General features: G+C 43.6%; 1 long non-coding RNA gene across 2 annotated transcripts in view, besides 3 other annotated features; it reads right to left on the bottom strand.

Moving 5' to 3' along the window:
• Positions 222 to 790: an enhancer, noted in NCBI's record as "H3K4me1 hESC enhancer chr2:122571203-122571771 (GRCh37/hg19 assembly coordinates)". NCBI's record gives its function as "activates a minimal SCP1, AML or CMV promoter by ChIP-STARR-seq in primed H9 embryonic stem cells {active_cell/tissue: H9 hESC(primed)}" and the evidence as "EXISTENCE:reporter gene assay evidence [ECO:0000049][PMID:30033119]".
• Positions 2551 to 3052: an enhancer, noted in NCBI's record as "H3K4me1 hESC enhancer chr2:122568941-122569442 (GRCh37/hg19 assembly coordinates)". NCBI's record gives its function as "activates a minimal SCP1, AML or CMV promoter by ChIP-STARR-seq in naive H9 embryonic stem cells {active_cell/tissue: H9 hESC(naive)}" and the evidence as "EXISTENCE:reporter gene assay evidence [ECO:0000049][PMID:30033119]".
• Positions 4459 to 17127, bottom strand: part of LINC01823 (long intergenic non-protein coding RNA 1823) — a 19556-nt gene continuing 6887 nt past the window's right edge. For both annotated transcript variants that reach the window (NR_183364.1, NR_183363.1), the window contains exon 5: positions 4459 to 4788. This is a non-coding gene — a long non-coding RNA (long intergenic non-protein coding RNA 1823). The remainder of the gene's footprint in view (positions 4789 to 17127) is intronic.
• Positions 9981 to 10060: an enhancer, noted in NCBI's record as "active region_16473". NCBI's record gives its function as "activates an Ori minimal core promoter by ATAC-STARR-seq in GM12878 lymphoblastoid cells {active_cell/tissue: GM12878}" and the evidence as "EXISTENCE:reporter gene assay evidence [ECO:0000049][PMID:35858748]".

Genomic DNA, 17127 nt, shown 5'->3' with positions numbered 1-17127 from the left:
CAAGAGAAAAATGAGGAGGAAGCAAAAGTAGAAACCCCGGATAAACCCATCAGATCTCATGAGACTTATTCACTATCACAAGAATGGCATGGGAAAGACCAGCCCCCATGATTCAATTACCTCCCACTGGGTCCCTCCCACAACACATGGGAATTCTGGGAGATACAATTCAAGTTGAGATTTGGGTGAGGACGTAGCCAAGCCATATCATTCCACCCCGGCCCCTCTAAATCTTATGTTCTCACATTTCAAAACCAATCGTGCCTTCCCAAAAGTCCCCCAAAGTCTTAACTCATTTCAGCGTTAACCCAAAAGTGCATGGTCCAAAGTCTCATCTGAGACAGGGCAAGTCTCTTCCACCTATGAGCCTGTAAAATCAAAAGCAAGCTAGTTACTTCTTAGAAACAATGGGGGTACAGGTACTGGGTAAATACAGCTGTTCCAAGTGAGAGAAATTGACCAAAACAAAGGGGTTACAGGCCCCATGCAATTCCAAAACCCAGCAGGTGCAGTCAGATTTTAAAGCTCCAAAATGATCTCCTTTGACTCCAGGTCTCACATCCAGGTCACGCTTATGCAAAAGGTGGGCTCCCATAGTCTTGGACAGCTCAACCCCTGCGGCTTAGCAGGGTATATCCCCCCTCCCGGCTGCTTTCACAGGCTGGCATTGAGTGTCTGCGGCTTTTCCAGGCACACGGTGCAAGCTGTCGGTGGATCAACCATTCTGGGATCTGGAGGATGGTGGCCGTCTTCTCACAGCTCCACCAGGCAGTGCCCCAGTAGGGACTCTGTCTGGGGCCTCTGACCCCACATTTCCCTTCCCCATTGCCCTAGCAGAGGTTCTCCATGAAGGCCCTGCTCCTGCAGCAAACTTTTGCCTGGGCATCCAGGCATTTCCATACATCTGCTGAAATCTAGGTGGAGGTTCCCAAACCTCAATTCTTGACTTCTGTGCACCCACAGGCTCAATACCAAGTGGAAGCTGCCAAGGTTTGGGGCTTGCACCCTCTGAAACCATGGGCCGAGCTGTACCTTGGCCCCTTTTAGCAATAGCTGGAGCAGCTGGGATGCAGGGCACCAAGTCCCTCCACTGCACACAGCATGGGGACCCTGGGCCCAGCACATGAAACCATGTTTTCTTCCTAGGCTTCCGGGTCTGTGACGGCAGGGGCTGCCCTGGAGACATTTTCCCCATTGTCTTAGGGATTAACATACAGCTCCTTGTTACTTATGCAAATTTCTGTAGCCAGCTTGAATTTCTCCTCAAAAAATGGGTTTTTCTTTTCTACTGCATCATCAGGCTGCAAATTTTCTGAACATTTGTGCTCTGTTTCCCTTTTAAAACAGAATGCTTTTAACAGCACCCAATTCACATCTCGAATGCTTTGCTGCTTAGAAATTTCTTCTGTCAGATACCTTAAATCATCTCTCTCAAGTTCTTTGAACAAATCTCTAGGGCAGGGTCAAAATGCTGCCATTCTCTTTGCTAAAACATAACAAGAGTCACCTTTGCTCCGGTTCCCAAAAAGTTCCTCATCTACATTTGAGACCACCTCAGCCTGGATTTCATTGTCCATATCATTATCAGTATCTTTGTCAAAGCCATTCAACAAGTCTCTAGGAAGCTTCAAACTTTCTCACATTTTCCTGTCTTCTTCTGAGCCCTCTAAACTGTTCCAACCTCTGCCTGTTACCCCATTCCAAAGTGACTTTCACATTTTCAGGTATCTTTTCAGCAACGCCCCACTCAACTGGTACCAATTTATTGTATTAGTCCATTTTCATGCTGCTGATAAAGACATACCCAAGACTGGGAAGAAAAAGATGTTTAATTGGATTTACAGTTCCACATGGCTGGGGAGGCCTCAGAATCATGGCGAGAGGCGAAAGGCACTTCTTACATGGCGGCAACAAGAGAAAAATGAGGAAGAAGCAAAAGCAGAAACCCCTGATAAACCCATCAGATCTCATGAGACTTATTCACTGTCACAAGAATGGCATGGGAAAGACCAGCTCCCATGATTCAATTACTTCCCCCTCTGGGTCCCTCCCACAACACATGAGAATTCTGGGAGATACAATTCAAGCTGAGATTTGGGTGGGGACACGGCCAAACCATATCAGCCCTGGTGGTCAGGAGGGAATAAAGGCAATGGCCTGAGTTTCTCCTCACAACACCAGCCCTCCCTGTAACTTTCTGAAACTCCTTTGTCCCATCCAGACAAAGGAGTTTTGTTTGCTGTTTGGTTTATTCGTTAGGTACTTACGAAGTGCCAATGCTATGACAGTTACATCAGTGCTGACCCCACCACTGTCACCTTCATGCCCAGGGGCTGTGGAGTCCAGTACACCAGAGGGTCCCCAGCCCTGACTCTTGTGGGGAATTACCCTGGAATGACCAGACTCTGCCTGGTGGCAGAAGGCCCCTCGAGAAGATGGGAGAGGAGCCCTGGGGCTGTGTGAGGGCTGCACATGGCTGGACAGATGGGATGTAGGATGCAGCAGACAGGCCAAGGCCATGGTCCCAAGGCCAGACCCACAAAGGGTGTAAGGGTAGCCCTAACAAAGATGCCTCCAAGGCTTGGGACTTTGCAAGGTCTTTCTTAGGAGATGCAGAATGAAAACTTAAGCCACCACCATCTAGCCTACACCCACAGTGCCTGAATAAGACCCTTCTGGATGGAGCTGGGGGCAGAGCAAGCAAGCTGCCCTAAAGGTCTCTCATTGCTGTGGGAGCCCGCCCATCCTCTGACACACGAGCAAAACCATTTTGTTTCTTCGCTCGGCATTGTTCTGTTTGTTGGCTTGCTTTCATTCTGCTTCCTTTCCTGTTTTTGGCATCCTCATTAACATCATGTTCTAGTAAGGATTATGTGCTTCAGAAGCTCAGGAAAAGGCAGGAAGCTCAAGCAGGCTCTGGCTTTGGCGGCGTCCCTGAAAGCAGTGGTGGCCTCGAAGCCAGGTGGAATCATTCGTGTCTAGTGCCATCTTTTGGCTATTTTCGAGAACTTCAACTAACAGAGCTAAAGTAATGCCTGCTGGCCTTCAGCGCTACAAAGCCTCTTTCTTTGCTTCTAGTTTAGGGGAAAGGCCAGTCTAATTCGGTCAAAAATCTAAGCTGGAGATCACTCACGAGTGAAAAGATACTTTTAAACTTTCAATAGCCAGGAGGCAGGGCCAGAGCCTGGCCTATTCTTCTTGAAAACTTTGGAAAGTTTCTTGATGGGTAAGATTCAGCAAGTAGGTCAGTCCTTGTGCTACCCTAGTACCCGGATAAACTCAGCTGTACACGGGAAAATAACTCCCTGGTTCCCCCACTAAAGAAGAGTGTAATGCTCTATCTTTCCAGGCCAGTCCCCTCCGAGGCCCCTCACTCTCTAGCCCTTCACACAAACTCACCATCCGGCACTCCCTGCCTTGGGCTGTTGGGGAGGAAATCAGAATCTCGAGGCTAACAGATCCTGCTGTGGCTGCAAGCATCCCTAAGTGTATGTATTGTCTCTGGGCATTTTAGTGGCCAGATGGAGTTTCTCCAGAAAAGGCCCCATCTCCCATGAGAACCATGAATTCAGACAGCCGGACCCAACAACGCCAGTCTTAGGAATACACTCTCCAGAGGAATACACACGTGCAAAATGGTACTGGTATAACTTGTAATATTATAACACATGGTATTCATAGCAGTGTTGTTTTTAATAGCAAAATATTGATGATATTCTAAATGTCTCTCAACAAGAGGATATTAAATACATTGTGGTACAATGAAACAACAGAATACTAGGTAGCCATAAAAAAGAACAATATGGGAAGATCTCCAAGATATATTATTATATGAAAAAAGTGCACATAGTATGCTAGCATACATAAGCATATTTATTCCATATATGTGCAGATAGATGTATAGCATATGCACATATAAAATGCTTATATAGGTGATCAAATATTTCCAGGACAGTACACAAGAAACTGGCATTATTGGAGCCCTTTGGAGGGAATCAGATGGCTGTGGATGGGGATGAGAGGGAGACTTTTGTATCTTTCCATTTTAAACCAATTTATTTTAAATCAGTGTATTTACTTTTTCAAAAGTATGTAAAGAAAAAAATGACCTCTGTCACCTAGAAGCTGGTCAAGTGCCTGGAATAGAAGCATCCCATGGTGGACCACAGCAGAAAATGAATAAGATACATTTTGTAGACAGATTAGCATTTCATACACTTCTCTGTATTTGCTTCTTATGTTATCCCAAGACTTCTAACAAAGTACTGTTTGAATATTCCAGGTTTGCCTCTCCATGCCGAAGGATTTAGCTCTCACAATAACAAAAATGCTAAAATGCAGGCCCTGCCTTGAAGGAGTTCCCAGTTTCCTGAGCTCAGCAGACACCTAGAATACCTTGCAATAAAAAAAATAGTTTGGATAATCTATTGCTATGCAACAAAGGCCCACAAAACTTAGTGGCTTAAAACAACAATTTATTATTATCCCCTTCAGCACTGTGGGTTAACCGGGATCAGCTGGGAGGCTTCTATTTAGAGTCTTTCATGTGGTTGCAGTCCAAAGGTGGCTGAAATCGGAGTCATCTGAAGGCTCAACTTGGCTGTACATCAAAGATGATTTCTTTGCTCACATGTCTGTCTCCACAGCTGCTGCTGGCCCTGTGCCTCTGTCCAGGTAGCCTCTCCACATGGCTGGTTTGGTTTCCACACGGCATGTCTGTCATCAATGGTAGATGGCTTCTCCCAAAAGCTGCAACCTCAGAAGCCGTGCACTCTCTTCTGTTGCATTCTATGGATCAAAATCAAGTCAGAGATCTAGCCTGGATTCAAGGGAAAAGGACTATACAAGGGAAGAAATACTGGGAGGCATGGTCATCTTTGGAGAATGGCTACCACAAGCTAGGATAAAGACAAGCCCAGGTGCAAAGGCAGCCCAGAACTTGACCCTGACTCACTGTCCATCTCAGCACTTGTTCTAAACTGGAGCCTTCTTATGCTTTTGAAAAAAATGCATCTTGGGAAGTTATTATTAATGTCTTCAAATTTCAAGCCTGAAAAAAATGAGGAAACCCGGCCAGGCGCGGTGCTCACGCCTGTAATCCCAGCACTTTGGGAGGCTGAGGCAGGTGGATCGTCTGAGGTCAGGAGTTCGAGACCAGCCTGGCCAACATGGTGAAACCCCATCTCTACTAAAAATACAAAAAATTAGCTGGGCGTGGTGATGGGCGCCTGTAATCCCAGCTACTCAGGAGGCTGAGGCAGGAGAATCTCTTGAACCCAAGAGGCAGAGATTGCAGTGAGCTGAGATCGCACCATTGCACTCCAGCCTGGGCAAAAAGAGCCAAACTCTGTCTCAAAAATAAATACATAATGAGGAAACCAATCAGGAAGATTGTAAACCTTGTTTCTTTGTTTTGCTGTATTAGGCCCCAGCCCACAAAAAGCCACATCTCAGAACTAGCTTTGTACAGCTTCTTCAACTGATGAGCTTCTGAAATACAACGGCGGAATCCAAGAAGCCCCATGGATGCCATATGGGGGAACCTCTGGATATCAAGGCCACACCTTCTTCACTCCACAAAGATACACACACACATGCACAGCCCCTATGCAACAGGACTTTCTCAACCTCTTCTCCATCCTGCTCCCATTGAAACTCGACTCTGCTGGGTTCTTGCTCTACCAAAAAGAAAAAAAAATGGACCCAAATAATCAACAAGAAAGTCATAAGAAACCTTTAAAATACCAGTGAGACTCATTCTTGGTTTCCATCTAGATATAAAGAGAATGGAATATAAATAGAATATCTTATAGAACTAATAAAAATAACATCCTTTGAACACAATTTAATGGTATAAAGAGGCGATCACAATATACCATTAACTGCAAAAAAAAGACACAAAACTGTTCACAGTATGTATACATGCAGAAAAAAAAGATTAGTAGAAAATACACGGGAAATATTAACAGCGATTCTCTCTAGTGGTAAAATTATGCGAGACTTTTACTCTTAATACACTTCTATATTTTGGACAATGAACATAGAGTCCTTTTAGGATCAGATAAAAGTTCCATATACGCATATGTACCTACTTTTGGTCTTTTCTCTCAAAATCTCCATTCCCCATTCTGACATTAGCACTTCCCTCTCAACTTGGGTCTGAACTGTCAGCTTGACCAAGGGCTATTGGGACAGCAAGCAGGGTGTCCCAAAGGCCTCCATCAGCCCTGGCACAGATGACAGTCTCCTAAGTGGAGTCTGCCCTGCCCCTGGATTTTGGCATAAAAGAGCTGGTTAAAAATTTGAGCTATGCTTTTGAATGCATGCTTTTGAAAAAAATGCATCTTGGGAAGTTACTATTAATGTCTTCAAATTTCAAGCCTGAAAAAAATGAGGAAACCCAGCCGGGCACGGTGGCTCACTCCTATAATCCCAGCACTTTGGGAGGCCGAGGCGGGCTGATTGCTTGAGGCCATGAGTTCCAGACCAGCCGGGCCAACATAGTGAAACCCTATCTCTACTAAAATTACAAAAATTAGCCGGACATTATGGTGCATGCCTGTAATCCCAGCTACTTGGGAGGCTGAGTCAGGAGAATCGCTTGAACGCAGGAGGTGGAGGTTGCAATGAGCCTACATTGTGCCACTGCACTCCAGCTTGGGTGACAGAGTGAGACTCTGTCTCAAAAAAAAAAAAATTGAGCTAGTTGTGAATATGTGTGTGGGGCTGGAGCAAGGAGTTGGCGTGTGAGGAGAGCTGCTAAGGTAGAAGTTTGAAAAGAGGCATTTGACTGCTGAGAACAAAGCCAAAGGAAGAGGAAGACCAGAAGACACCAGCAGAAGCCCCCTTTGGGAAACATTCCAGGTCTCTCCCTACTCCACACTCTCCCGCCCAAAGCTTGTGCAGTGCTGACCTCCTGCGCCTCACAAGTGACATCTTTTATTGTCGTCATCATCATCATTACCACGACCACACCTAGGATATTATGCGTTATATCTCACTTAGTCCTCTTATCCAGTAATATAAGGATTAATAGAGATGAGAAAACTGAGGATGATGAAATTAAGTAACTTGCCTTAGGTCAAACATCATATTAGTCAAATGGACCATCTCTGGAGCCAGAGAGAAAAACGTTTGTTCCAAGTTGTGCCATTTTCTAACTGTGTGACCTTGGGCCTGAGCCTCAGTCTCCTCACAGGTAAAACGAAGACGATAATAGTACCTACCTGGAATCGTTTCCCATAGCTGCTGTAACAAATTACCACAAATGTACCGGCTTAAAGCAACACGCGGCCGGGCGCGGTGGCTCACGCCTGTAATCCCAGCACTTTGGGAGGCCGAGGCGGGCGGATCACGAGGTCAGGAGATCGAGACCATCCTGGCTAAAACGGTGAAACCCCGTCTCTACTAAAAATACAAAAAATTAGCCGGGCGTAGTGGCGGGCGCCTGTAGTCCCAGCTACTTGGGAGGCTGAGGCAGGAGAATGGCGTGAACCCGGGAGGCGGAGCTTGCAGTGAGCCGAGATCCCACCACTGCACTCCAGCCTGGGCGACAGAGCGAGACTCCGTCTCAAAAAAAAAAAAAAAAAAAAAAAAAAAGCAACACGCATTTTATCTTTTACGGTTCTGAAAGCCAGAGGTTTAAATGAAGTGTTACGGAGCTAAAATCAAGGTATCCACAGGGCTGGTTCCTTCCAGATGCCCCAAGGGAAGATTTGCTTCTGCTTTTTGAAGCTGCTCCCAGCCCCTTCCTCCATCTTCAATGCCAGCATCTTCTCTTCTCCCTGACCTCCTCCCTCCCTCTCATAAAGGACCCTCATGATTACATCGAGCCCACTCAAATCCAAAACAATCTTCCCATCTCAAGATTCCTAATTCAGCCGGTTGTTGTGACTCATGCCTGTAATCCCAGCATGTTGGAAGGCCGAGGAGGGAGGATCACTTGAGTCCAGGAGTTCAAGACCAGCCTGGACAATATAGTGAGACTCCTGTCTCTAAAAAACAAAATAATCCTTAATTTGATTACATCTGCAAAGTCCCTTCTGCCAACTAAGCTAACATACTCACAGGTTCCAGGGATTAGGATGTGAACCTCGTTGGGGAGCTATTATTCAGCCTGAGAAGGTTGTTAAAAGTATAAATGAGTTAACATACAGAGAGTGCTAGAGAAAACCATCTGGCACAAAATAAATGCTATTAACCGTGTTAGCTGTTGTGATTAATAAAAGTCACACACACACACTAAGTGGTGTGGCTGAAACTGAACCCCATGCCAGGCAGAAGCCCAGGATGCCATAGAAACCATAAAATCGGAAAAATTGGGGGCGGGGGGAATCCCAGAAGGGGGAAATCTTGTCTGGTTCTACAACAGACCTAGCAGCGTCTGTCTGGATTCCTTAGTGAGGAAGTTCCCAGTATTTACCAAGTTAATTGGCTTTGACCTCAACCAATAAGATAACACAAAATACTGCATATGATCTTTGAGTGACAAAAGAAACGGGATGCCTCAGCTTTGATCAGGGCCCAGTTTCTGAGATGTGAAACGGAAGTCGAGCTGTAAATGTAAATAGAACTACAAGTTGTGTCCTCAAGCTTCAGTAACAAGTCTGGGAGCTTCTCCCACTTTTTGAAAAGGAAAATAGGCTCTCGTTAATTTCATTCCATCACGTGGAATTTCTAATGGCTTTGACATTCTAAAAACAACTAAATTGGAGCCTTAAAACATATATCATTTGGAAGGCAGCCTGGTAAGATGGAAGGAGAGGAGGACTGGGTTGGAAACCACCAGTGCTGGACTCCACACCAGGCTCTGAACCAACACCTGCTGCAACCAAGACTTGGCCCCTCCCCTCTCTGGGCCCCAGTTTCCTTACTAGTAAAATGAAGGGAGTGAAATCCCCCCGTGTTCTGACATCACATCATCTGTTGATTCATTTCTTCTGAAATTTCTTCCCCTTTCCCCTGCTTTCTCTCTCTTTCCACCAGAGTATCAACAGATTCATATTTTTTTCTTCTCTCAAGGGAAATGCCTTAATTTGAAGTCACTCATAATTTCTAATTTGTACAATAAATGTAGCTGGTTGGAGTAGATAGTGGAAGATGCATGGATTCAAGTTCTGGCTCTGTAATTTACTAACTGTGTGATCTTGAGTGAATTACTTAACCTCTCTGTTTCCTCAGATCTACGGATAATTCCTGCTCACAGGAATGTTGTGAGGCTCAAATAAGATGATACATGCAAAGCACTTAGAATAGTCCCTCTCATATGCAAAGTGCTTAGTAAACAGACATTAGCAGGAGGAGGAGTGGCTGCTGTTGTTGTTATTTCTTTTCTTTGTTGGATCTCCTAGATCCTACTAATAGGTGACTTTAATAAAGGCATTTTGAAAAGACCATTCAGAAGAGACAGTTTCCCCTCCTAATGTCCCTCTCCCAGGAAGAAAGGAAGGAAAGAAGAAAGAGAAAGAGGGAAGAAAGAAAGGGAGGCGAGAGGAAGGGGGGAGGAAGGAAAGAGAGAGAAAGAAAATTCAAATGCTGCCATTAAATAGACCAAGATCAGAGGTATTTCATCACAAGAAAAGAAAAACATCATTACAAGCTATAATTTTTGGCTTTCAAGAAATTATATTCATTTGAAAAAGAGCATTGAACTTGTGCCTTCTTAGTAGAAAAATAAACAGCTTTCTGAAGAGTTAGGAGATGATTTTACATAAAAATTGAATTTGTTGAATGCCAGAAAAAGTGATTCGAATATTTGATTTCATCCACCAAATGTGTGAACAACTGGCCTAAAAGATTTTCACTCAACTTGCTGATGGCGAATTTGGCTACAATTGAAACGGGCAGAAAAAAAGCCCAGGCCCCTAACGGCCTCTGGCTGGCAGCCAATCAAAATGATGTCACCCACTCAGTGATGTGCCTCAAACCCCTACCTCCGTCCTGGCTTCCTCTTTCAGCTCCCTACACACACACACACAGGAACTCTCAGATGGCACCTTCCTTCCTCACAGAGAACAATTCTGATCAAATCCACACTGAAGATGTTCTCTCTCCAGAAGTATTTGCATTTCATGGGTTCTTGTTTAATTTTAAAGCTAATACCAGTTTATTTAAAACCGTTTGATAATATGAGAATAAAAAAAAAACTTCATTTTAATCACTTGACTTTCCCAGTCCAATTCCATGAGCCAAAGATAACTGAAGTGAATATTTCAGAACTAGGAAGATACTTCTTTGATTACAGAGAACATCATTTCAACCCAACTCCTCACAGCATACATCCCAGGGAAATTCTAAAGCAGCATTTTCCCAAGTGTGCCCCTAGACAACTGTCTTAGTCCATTTGCATTGCTAGAAAGGGATACCTGAGGCTGGGTAGTTTATAAAGAAAAGAGGTTTAACTGGCTCATGGTTCTGCAGACTGTATCAGAAGCACGATGCCTGTATCTGCTTCTAGTGAACACCTCAGGCTGCTTCCACTCGTGGCAGAAGGGGAAGGGGAGCAGGCATCACATAGCAAGGGAAGAAGGAAGAGAGAGATGGGGAGGAAATCCCAGGTTCTTTTCAACAACCAGTTCTCATGGGAACCAAGAGAGCTGGAACTTACTCGTCACCACAAGGACAGCACCAAGCCCTTTATGAAGGATCCACCTCCATGAACCAAACACCTGGCAATAGGCTCCACCTTTCATGTTGGAGATCAAATTTCAACATGAGATTTGGAGGGCCAACTATCTAACAACTGATGCATGAAAGACTCTACAAATAAAGCGAAAAAGAGGAAGGGGCCCTTGCCTGCTGCCCTTACCTCCTGAAAATGCACAGTGAGCACTGTCCTATCTAAGACTCAGAAGCTGTGCAGTGTATATATAAATATATATATAATATATGTATTCTGTTTAGCCAAACATTACCAAAACATTCAGAAACCTTAGAACCACATGAAACACACTTTAGAAAACACTACTAGTTAAAATTAAACACAGCTAGTTAAAATTAAAAACAAGACTACTTCCTACAACAGTTATTATTACCCTTTTTCTAGATTTTTTTAGCCAATACTATAAATACATGAAATGGAAATAAGAATTGGACATTTTAGAATGGCATAGAGAAGAACGCATTGTTGGGTGATATTTTGTTTATCTATAAATTACAAAGAATAAGCTCTAAAACTATTAAAATTCATAGGAATTCAGCAATGTAGCTAGAATACAAGCTAAATTTTCAGAATAATAGATTTTCCATAACTTAGCAATAACCAATTAGAAAAGTTAAGATATTTAATCCCAATAATTATTTTTAAGAATTATCTAGACAAAGCTTTAATGAAAAAAAGTTAACATTTCCACTAAGAAGATGAGACTGCAATTTATGAGTAATGCTCATGGAGAAGGTAATGCTTAAATAAAGGAATTAAGGATGGTGTGAGTTGCCTGTAATCCCAGCACTTTGGGAGGTCGAGGTGGGTGGATCACTTGAGGTCAGGAGTTCGAGAACAGCCTGACCAACATAGTGAAACCCCATCTCTACTAAATACAAAAAAATTAGCCAGGTATAGTGGTACATGCCTGTAATCCCAGCTACTTGGGAGGCTGAGGCAGGAGAATTGCTTGGACCCAGGAGGCAGAGGTTTCAGTGAGCCGAGATTGTGCCATTGCACTCCAGCCTGCGCAACAAGAGTGAAAACACCGTCTCAAAAAAAAAAAAAAAAAATGGCGTGAGTTTAAGGCAGCAGAAAAAGACATTTTGGAGCAAGTCAGCATTTTACTTGAAAAATGTTCCTCTTCCTTCTGGCCTCTGTGTTCACTTATGAGAAATCCTCCATCATCTCCACCTGCCACCACCTCCCAAAGTGTTGGGATTACAGGCGTGAGCCACCGCACCCGGCCCCTCCATCATCTCTTTAAAGGTAATGCCTTATCTCCCTAGATGCTTTCAAGATTTTTCTTTGTCTTTAGTTTTTGACTGATGATTTCAGTGTGGATTTCTTCGGGCTTATCTTGTCTGGGATTCATCAGCCTCTGTTGGTTTGTGTCTTTTGCCAAGTTTGGTTTGTGTCTTTTGCCAAATTTGGCAAGTTTTCAATCGTCATTTTTCCAAATCTTTTTCAGCCCATACTTCCTTATCTCCTTCTGGAACTCCAATAATACAAATATTCGATCTTTTGTTGTTGTCCCACAGATCCCTGAGGCTCTTGTCATTTTTTTTTCCATCTGTTTCCCCACTGTTCAAATCAGGTAATTTCTTTTGTTCTGTCTTCAAGTTCACCAATTCTTTCATCTTTTTATTCATCCTGCTATTGAGTGCACACAATGAGTTTTTTATTTCAGTTATTGTATTTTTTAGTTCTAAACTTTTCATTTGCTTTTCCTTATACCTTCAGTTGCCTTGCTAAGACTTTATTTTTCGTTTGTTTCAAACATGTTTGTAATTTCTTATTGCAGCATTTTAATGATGACTGCTTTACCATCTAATTTCTGTATCATCTCTGTGTTGACATCTATTGATTGTCTTTTCTCATTCAAACTGAGATTTTCCTGGTTCTTGGCAAAACCACATTCCTTAGAAGGACATTGTGCGTTAAGACTCTAGATCTCACTTAACCTTTTTTCTTTCTTTTCTGTAGGTAGTCACCCTATTTAGAAAGAGCATGAAGGCCAAAGTGAGAGTGGACATTCAGCTCCCGGCTGGGGCCCACTGACACCAGCAGAAGCCAAGCACATACACTCATCACCTCATCGCCACCAGGTTCAGGTGTAATTTCACTGACTCCAGGTGGGGCCCGAAATGCAGCTCCCCACTCAGCCCCACCAACACCATGGGGCCTGGGTGGGCATAGGGAGCAGTTTTTCTTTCTGTGTTTGGCTGGAATTGGGTGGGTATTGTCTTCTTGGATGGCCATTTCTTGGTCCTTTGGCTAGAATAAACAGGCTTTTCTTGGGGCTTTTTCTTTTTTTCTGTGCCTGTTAATGGTTTCAGGTTGACACTTCCCCCAGCTTCCCATCTGGAATATGAGGGAGGCAAAAAGAAAACCCAGAGCAACACAGGAACAGAAAACCAAACACTGCATGTTCTTACTCATAAGTGGGAGTTGAACAATGGAACCCATGGACACAGGGAGGGGAACATCACACACCAGGGCCTGTCGGGGGGTGGGCGGTTAGGGGAGGGATAGCATTAAGAGAAATACCTAATGTAGATGACGGGTTGATGGGTGCAGCAAACCACCATGGCACGTGTATACCTATGTAATAAACCTGCAAGATCTGCACATGTATCCCAGAACTTAAAGTATACTAAAATAATATAAAAAAAGAAAACCCAGAGAATTCACCACCATGTCATTCTTCAAGCCCCAAGGTCCCTAACCAGTCTTCCAGGACAACCTATGGAGGAAGATACTCATGCAGACAGCAGAGCAGCTTGAACACCCTGAGCGGGGAAGCCACCTTGCGACGGGAGAAAGTAGGGGCCTCCCTAAACACAGACACAGGAACAAATTCAAACACTGATGTGTTCCAAGTAGCCTCCTAACAGGGCCTGTGGAGTCACAAGGTGAAGGTCAGCCAGTCTTTCCTGGGTCATGCATACAGACTCTTCGCTGACATTTCATTTTTTTTCTTTATTTAACAGTTTTATTGATATAATTCACATCACATACAATTCTCCCATTGAAAGTGTACAATTCAATGGCTTTTAGCACATTCGCAAAGTTCACCGCAATCAATAATAGAACATGTTTATTAACCCAAAAGAAACCCAGCGCCCCATAGCCATCACCCCCAGTTCCTCTCCATGGCCCTCAACCCCAGGCAACCACTAATCTCTTTTCTATCTCTAAAGAGCCACCCATTCTGGACATTTCATATCAGTGAAATCATATAGTTTGTAGCCTTTTGTGGCTGGGTTCTTTCATTTGACATAATCTTTTCAAGGTTCATCCATGTTGCAGCATTTATCAATTCTTCATTCATTTTTATAGGTGAATAGAATTGATACCCCATATTGTTTACCCATTCATCAATTATAGATGGATGTCTAATTCTATGTCTAATCATTTGAACAACTGCCATACTGTTTTTGCAAAGTAGCTATGCCATTTTACATTCCCATTAGCCGTGTATGACGGCTCCAGTTTCCCCACATTCTTGCCAACACTTATTATCAGTCTTTTTTATTGTAGCCATCCTAGCAGGTGTGAAGTGATATCTCATTGTGGTTTTGATCTGCATTTCCCTGATAGCTAATAATGCAAGCATCTTTTCATGTCCTTATTGGTCACTCTTTGGAGGAATATCTGTTTAGATTTGTTGCCTACTTTTTAATTGGTTACTTGTGTTTTTGTTGTTGCCTTGTAAGAATTTTTTATATCTTCTGGAGACTATATATTATTAGATATGCAATTTGCAGTCTATGGCCATACCATCCTGAATGCACCTGATCTCATCAGATATGTAATTTGCAAATATTTTGTCTCATTCTGCAGGGTGTCTTTTCACTTTCTTTATACTCTACTTTGAAGCACAAAAGTTTTTAATTTTGATGAAGTCCAGTTTACCTACTTTTTTTTATGGATTGTGTTTTTGTTATCATATCAAAGAAATAATTGCCTATCCCAAGGTCATAAAGTTATTCCTAGGCTGGGCACAGTGGCTCACACCTGTAATCCCAACACTTTGGGAGGCCGAAGCAGGTGGATCACCTGAGATCAGGCATTTGAGACAAACCTGGCCAACACGGTGAAACCCCGTCTCTACTAAAAACACAAAAATTAGCCGGGCGTGGTGGCACACACCTATAGTTCCCAGTTACTTGGGAGGCTGAGGCAGGAGAATCACTTGAACCCAGAAGGCAGAGGCTGCAGTGAGCTGAGATCGTGCTTCTTCTATTGAGGCTTCTAAGATGCCCAAAGCCCGTGGCCCCCAGTGTTCTCCTGCAGCAAGTGAAAATGCATGCCATCAATGACCAGACACAAAGGCAGGAGTTTGGATTGATGCATTAATCATTGATTGATTAATGCATTTGATCAATGCATTAAAGTGCATGGACAATGAAAGATGCTCATGCTAAGTGATAGGTGAATAAAAACCAAACTTGTGACAATTCCTGGTACATAGCAAGTGTACAAACAATTTGCTCCTGTAGTTTGACTTCAATCATCTGAAATATACGGGTAGAAGCTGAACTATGTGGAGAGATTAAGCTGTTTTTTCTATTTTGCTATAATTTCTATAGAAACTATACACATATGATCTATATATTCCATGTATACATATATGTATATAAATATTTATGCTCTAATAAGCATGCATTAATTTTATGAACTGCAGCATGGTATATTTACTATACTATATTGAAAAAAGCGTTAACTTCAGAGCATTTGAATGTTTGCTTCACCATTTACTGTGTTTGTGCCTTTGGCCTTCTAAATCTTATTTTCTTCATCTATAAAATGGGCACAATATCTACCCTGCAGACTTCTTCTGAAGATAAGCAAAAATTAAAGCAAAGCACATAACACGGCATCTAACACACAGTAAAAGGACAGCTAATGCTGTTTCTTACAATGAAAGAAAACAAACTTTCCTTTAAATTGATGAATAAGCAAATGCATGATAAATATGTGCATGTTACCTAGCAATAGCTCCCATCATCATCTCCTATTTGTTAACTCAATTAAGGTCTATGTGTTGAGTGCTAACTACACACCAGGCACCATGCCTGACTCATTAGCCCAGACTGGTTGTTGGATGAATGTCTGGACATTCCTGGATGCTGAGAAGAGGACATTCAAGGCCAGGAAGACTCCGATAAGCGGGCACATTGCAACCATGAGCTCTGGGGAAGGGAGAGAGAAAAGTGAAAGCCACCAGCCAAGGAGAGGATACACATGCACCAAAGCCCTGGAACTATCCTGAGGTGAAAATTTGAATTAGGACCTAATCCCAGGCCATCTACCAGACTTTTTCTTCCTGCCTCTGTAGCTGATTCTTGCTCCACTGAACCACAAATACCCAATCCCAAAAGTGTATTAGTCAGGACTGCATTTAGTTGAATGCCTCAAAAAAAAAAAATCTACCTTAACAAGTTAGGAATCATTTGTCTCATGTAACAAGACACCTAGAAGTAGTTGCCTAGGGCTAGTGCTCAAAGATGTTACCAAGGACCCCCTTCCTTCTCTTTTCCTTCCCTGTCAGCCTTAACATTTGGTTGTCAACATGCAGGTCATGGACGGCGGCTGCTGCATTCTCATCCCAGGCTGGAGGATGCAGATGGCAAAGGGCCAGTGGTTGTGCTAGAGAACATGTGTCCCTTTTCCAAGTTCTCCCAGGGTACTACCTGGTGACTTCCACTCCCACTTTATTAGCCAGAATGGTGTCACATGGCCGCCCTCTCCTGCAAGGGAGTCCTGGAAGACGAGCTTTTTTTTTTTTTAAGACAGAGTCTCGCTTTGTCGCTCAGGCTGGAGTGCAGTGGCACAGTCTCTCAGCTCACGGCAACCTCCACCTCCTGGGTTCAAGTGATCCTCCCACCTCAGTCTCCCAAGTAGCTGGGACTACAGGCTCCTGCAACCACGCCTGGCTAATTTTTGCATTTTTAGTAGAGATTGGGTTTCACCATGTTGGCCAGGATGGTCTCGATCTCTTGACCTTGTGAGCTGCCTGCCTTGGCCTCCCAAAGTGCTGGGATTACAGGTGTGAGCCACCACACCTGGCCTTAAGATGAGCATTTTTATTTATTTATTTATTTATTTATTTATTTATTATTTTGAGAAGGAGTCTTGCTCTGTCGCCCTGGCTGGAATGCAGTGGCTCGATCTCAGCTCACTGCAACTTCCGCCTCCCAAGTGATTCTCCTGCCTCAGCCTCCTAAATAGCTGGGATTAAAGGCACGCGCCACCACAGTCAGCTAATTTTTGCATTTTTAGTAGGGACAGGGTTTCATCATGTTGGCCAAGCCGGTCTCGAACTCCTGACCTTGTGATCTGCCTGCCTCGGCCTCCCAAAGTGCTAAGATTACAGGCGTGAGCCATCGTGCCCGGCCAAGATGAGCATTTTTAACTGGGTCATTGCTTCCCAGATGAAATCAGGTGTCCACCAGCTGTGCCTTCCACAGCTAAGCTGG

The sequence above is a fragment of the Homo sapiens genome, chromosome 2 (genome assembly GCF_000001405.40).
Source record: "Homo sapiens chromosome 2, GRCh38.p14 Primary Assembly".
Classification (NCBI taxonomy): domain Eukaryota; kingdom Metazoa; phylum Chordata; class Mammalia; order Primates; family Hominidae; genus Homo; species Homo sapiens.
This window is presented reverse-complemented; position numbering and strand designations above follow the sequence as displayed.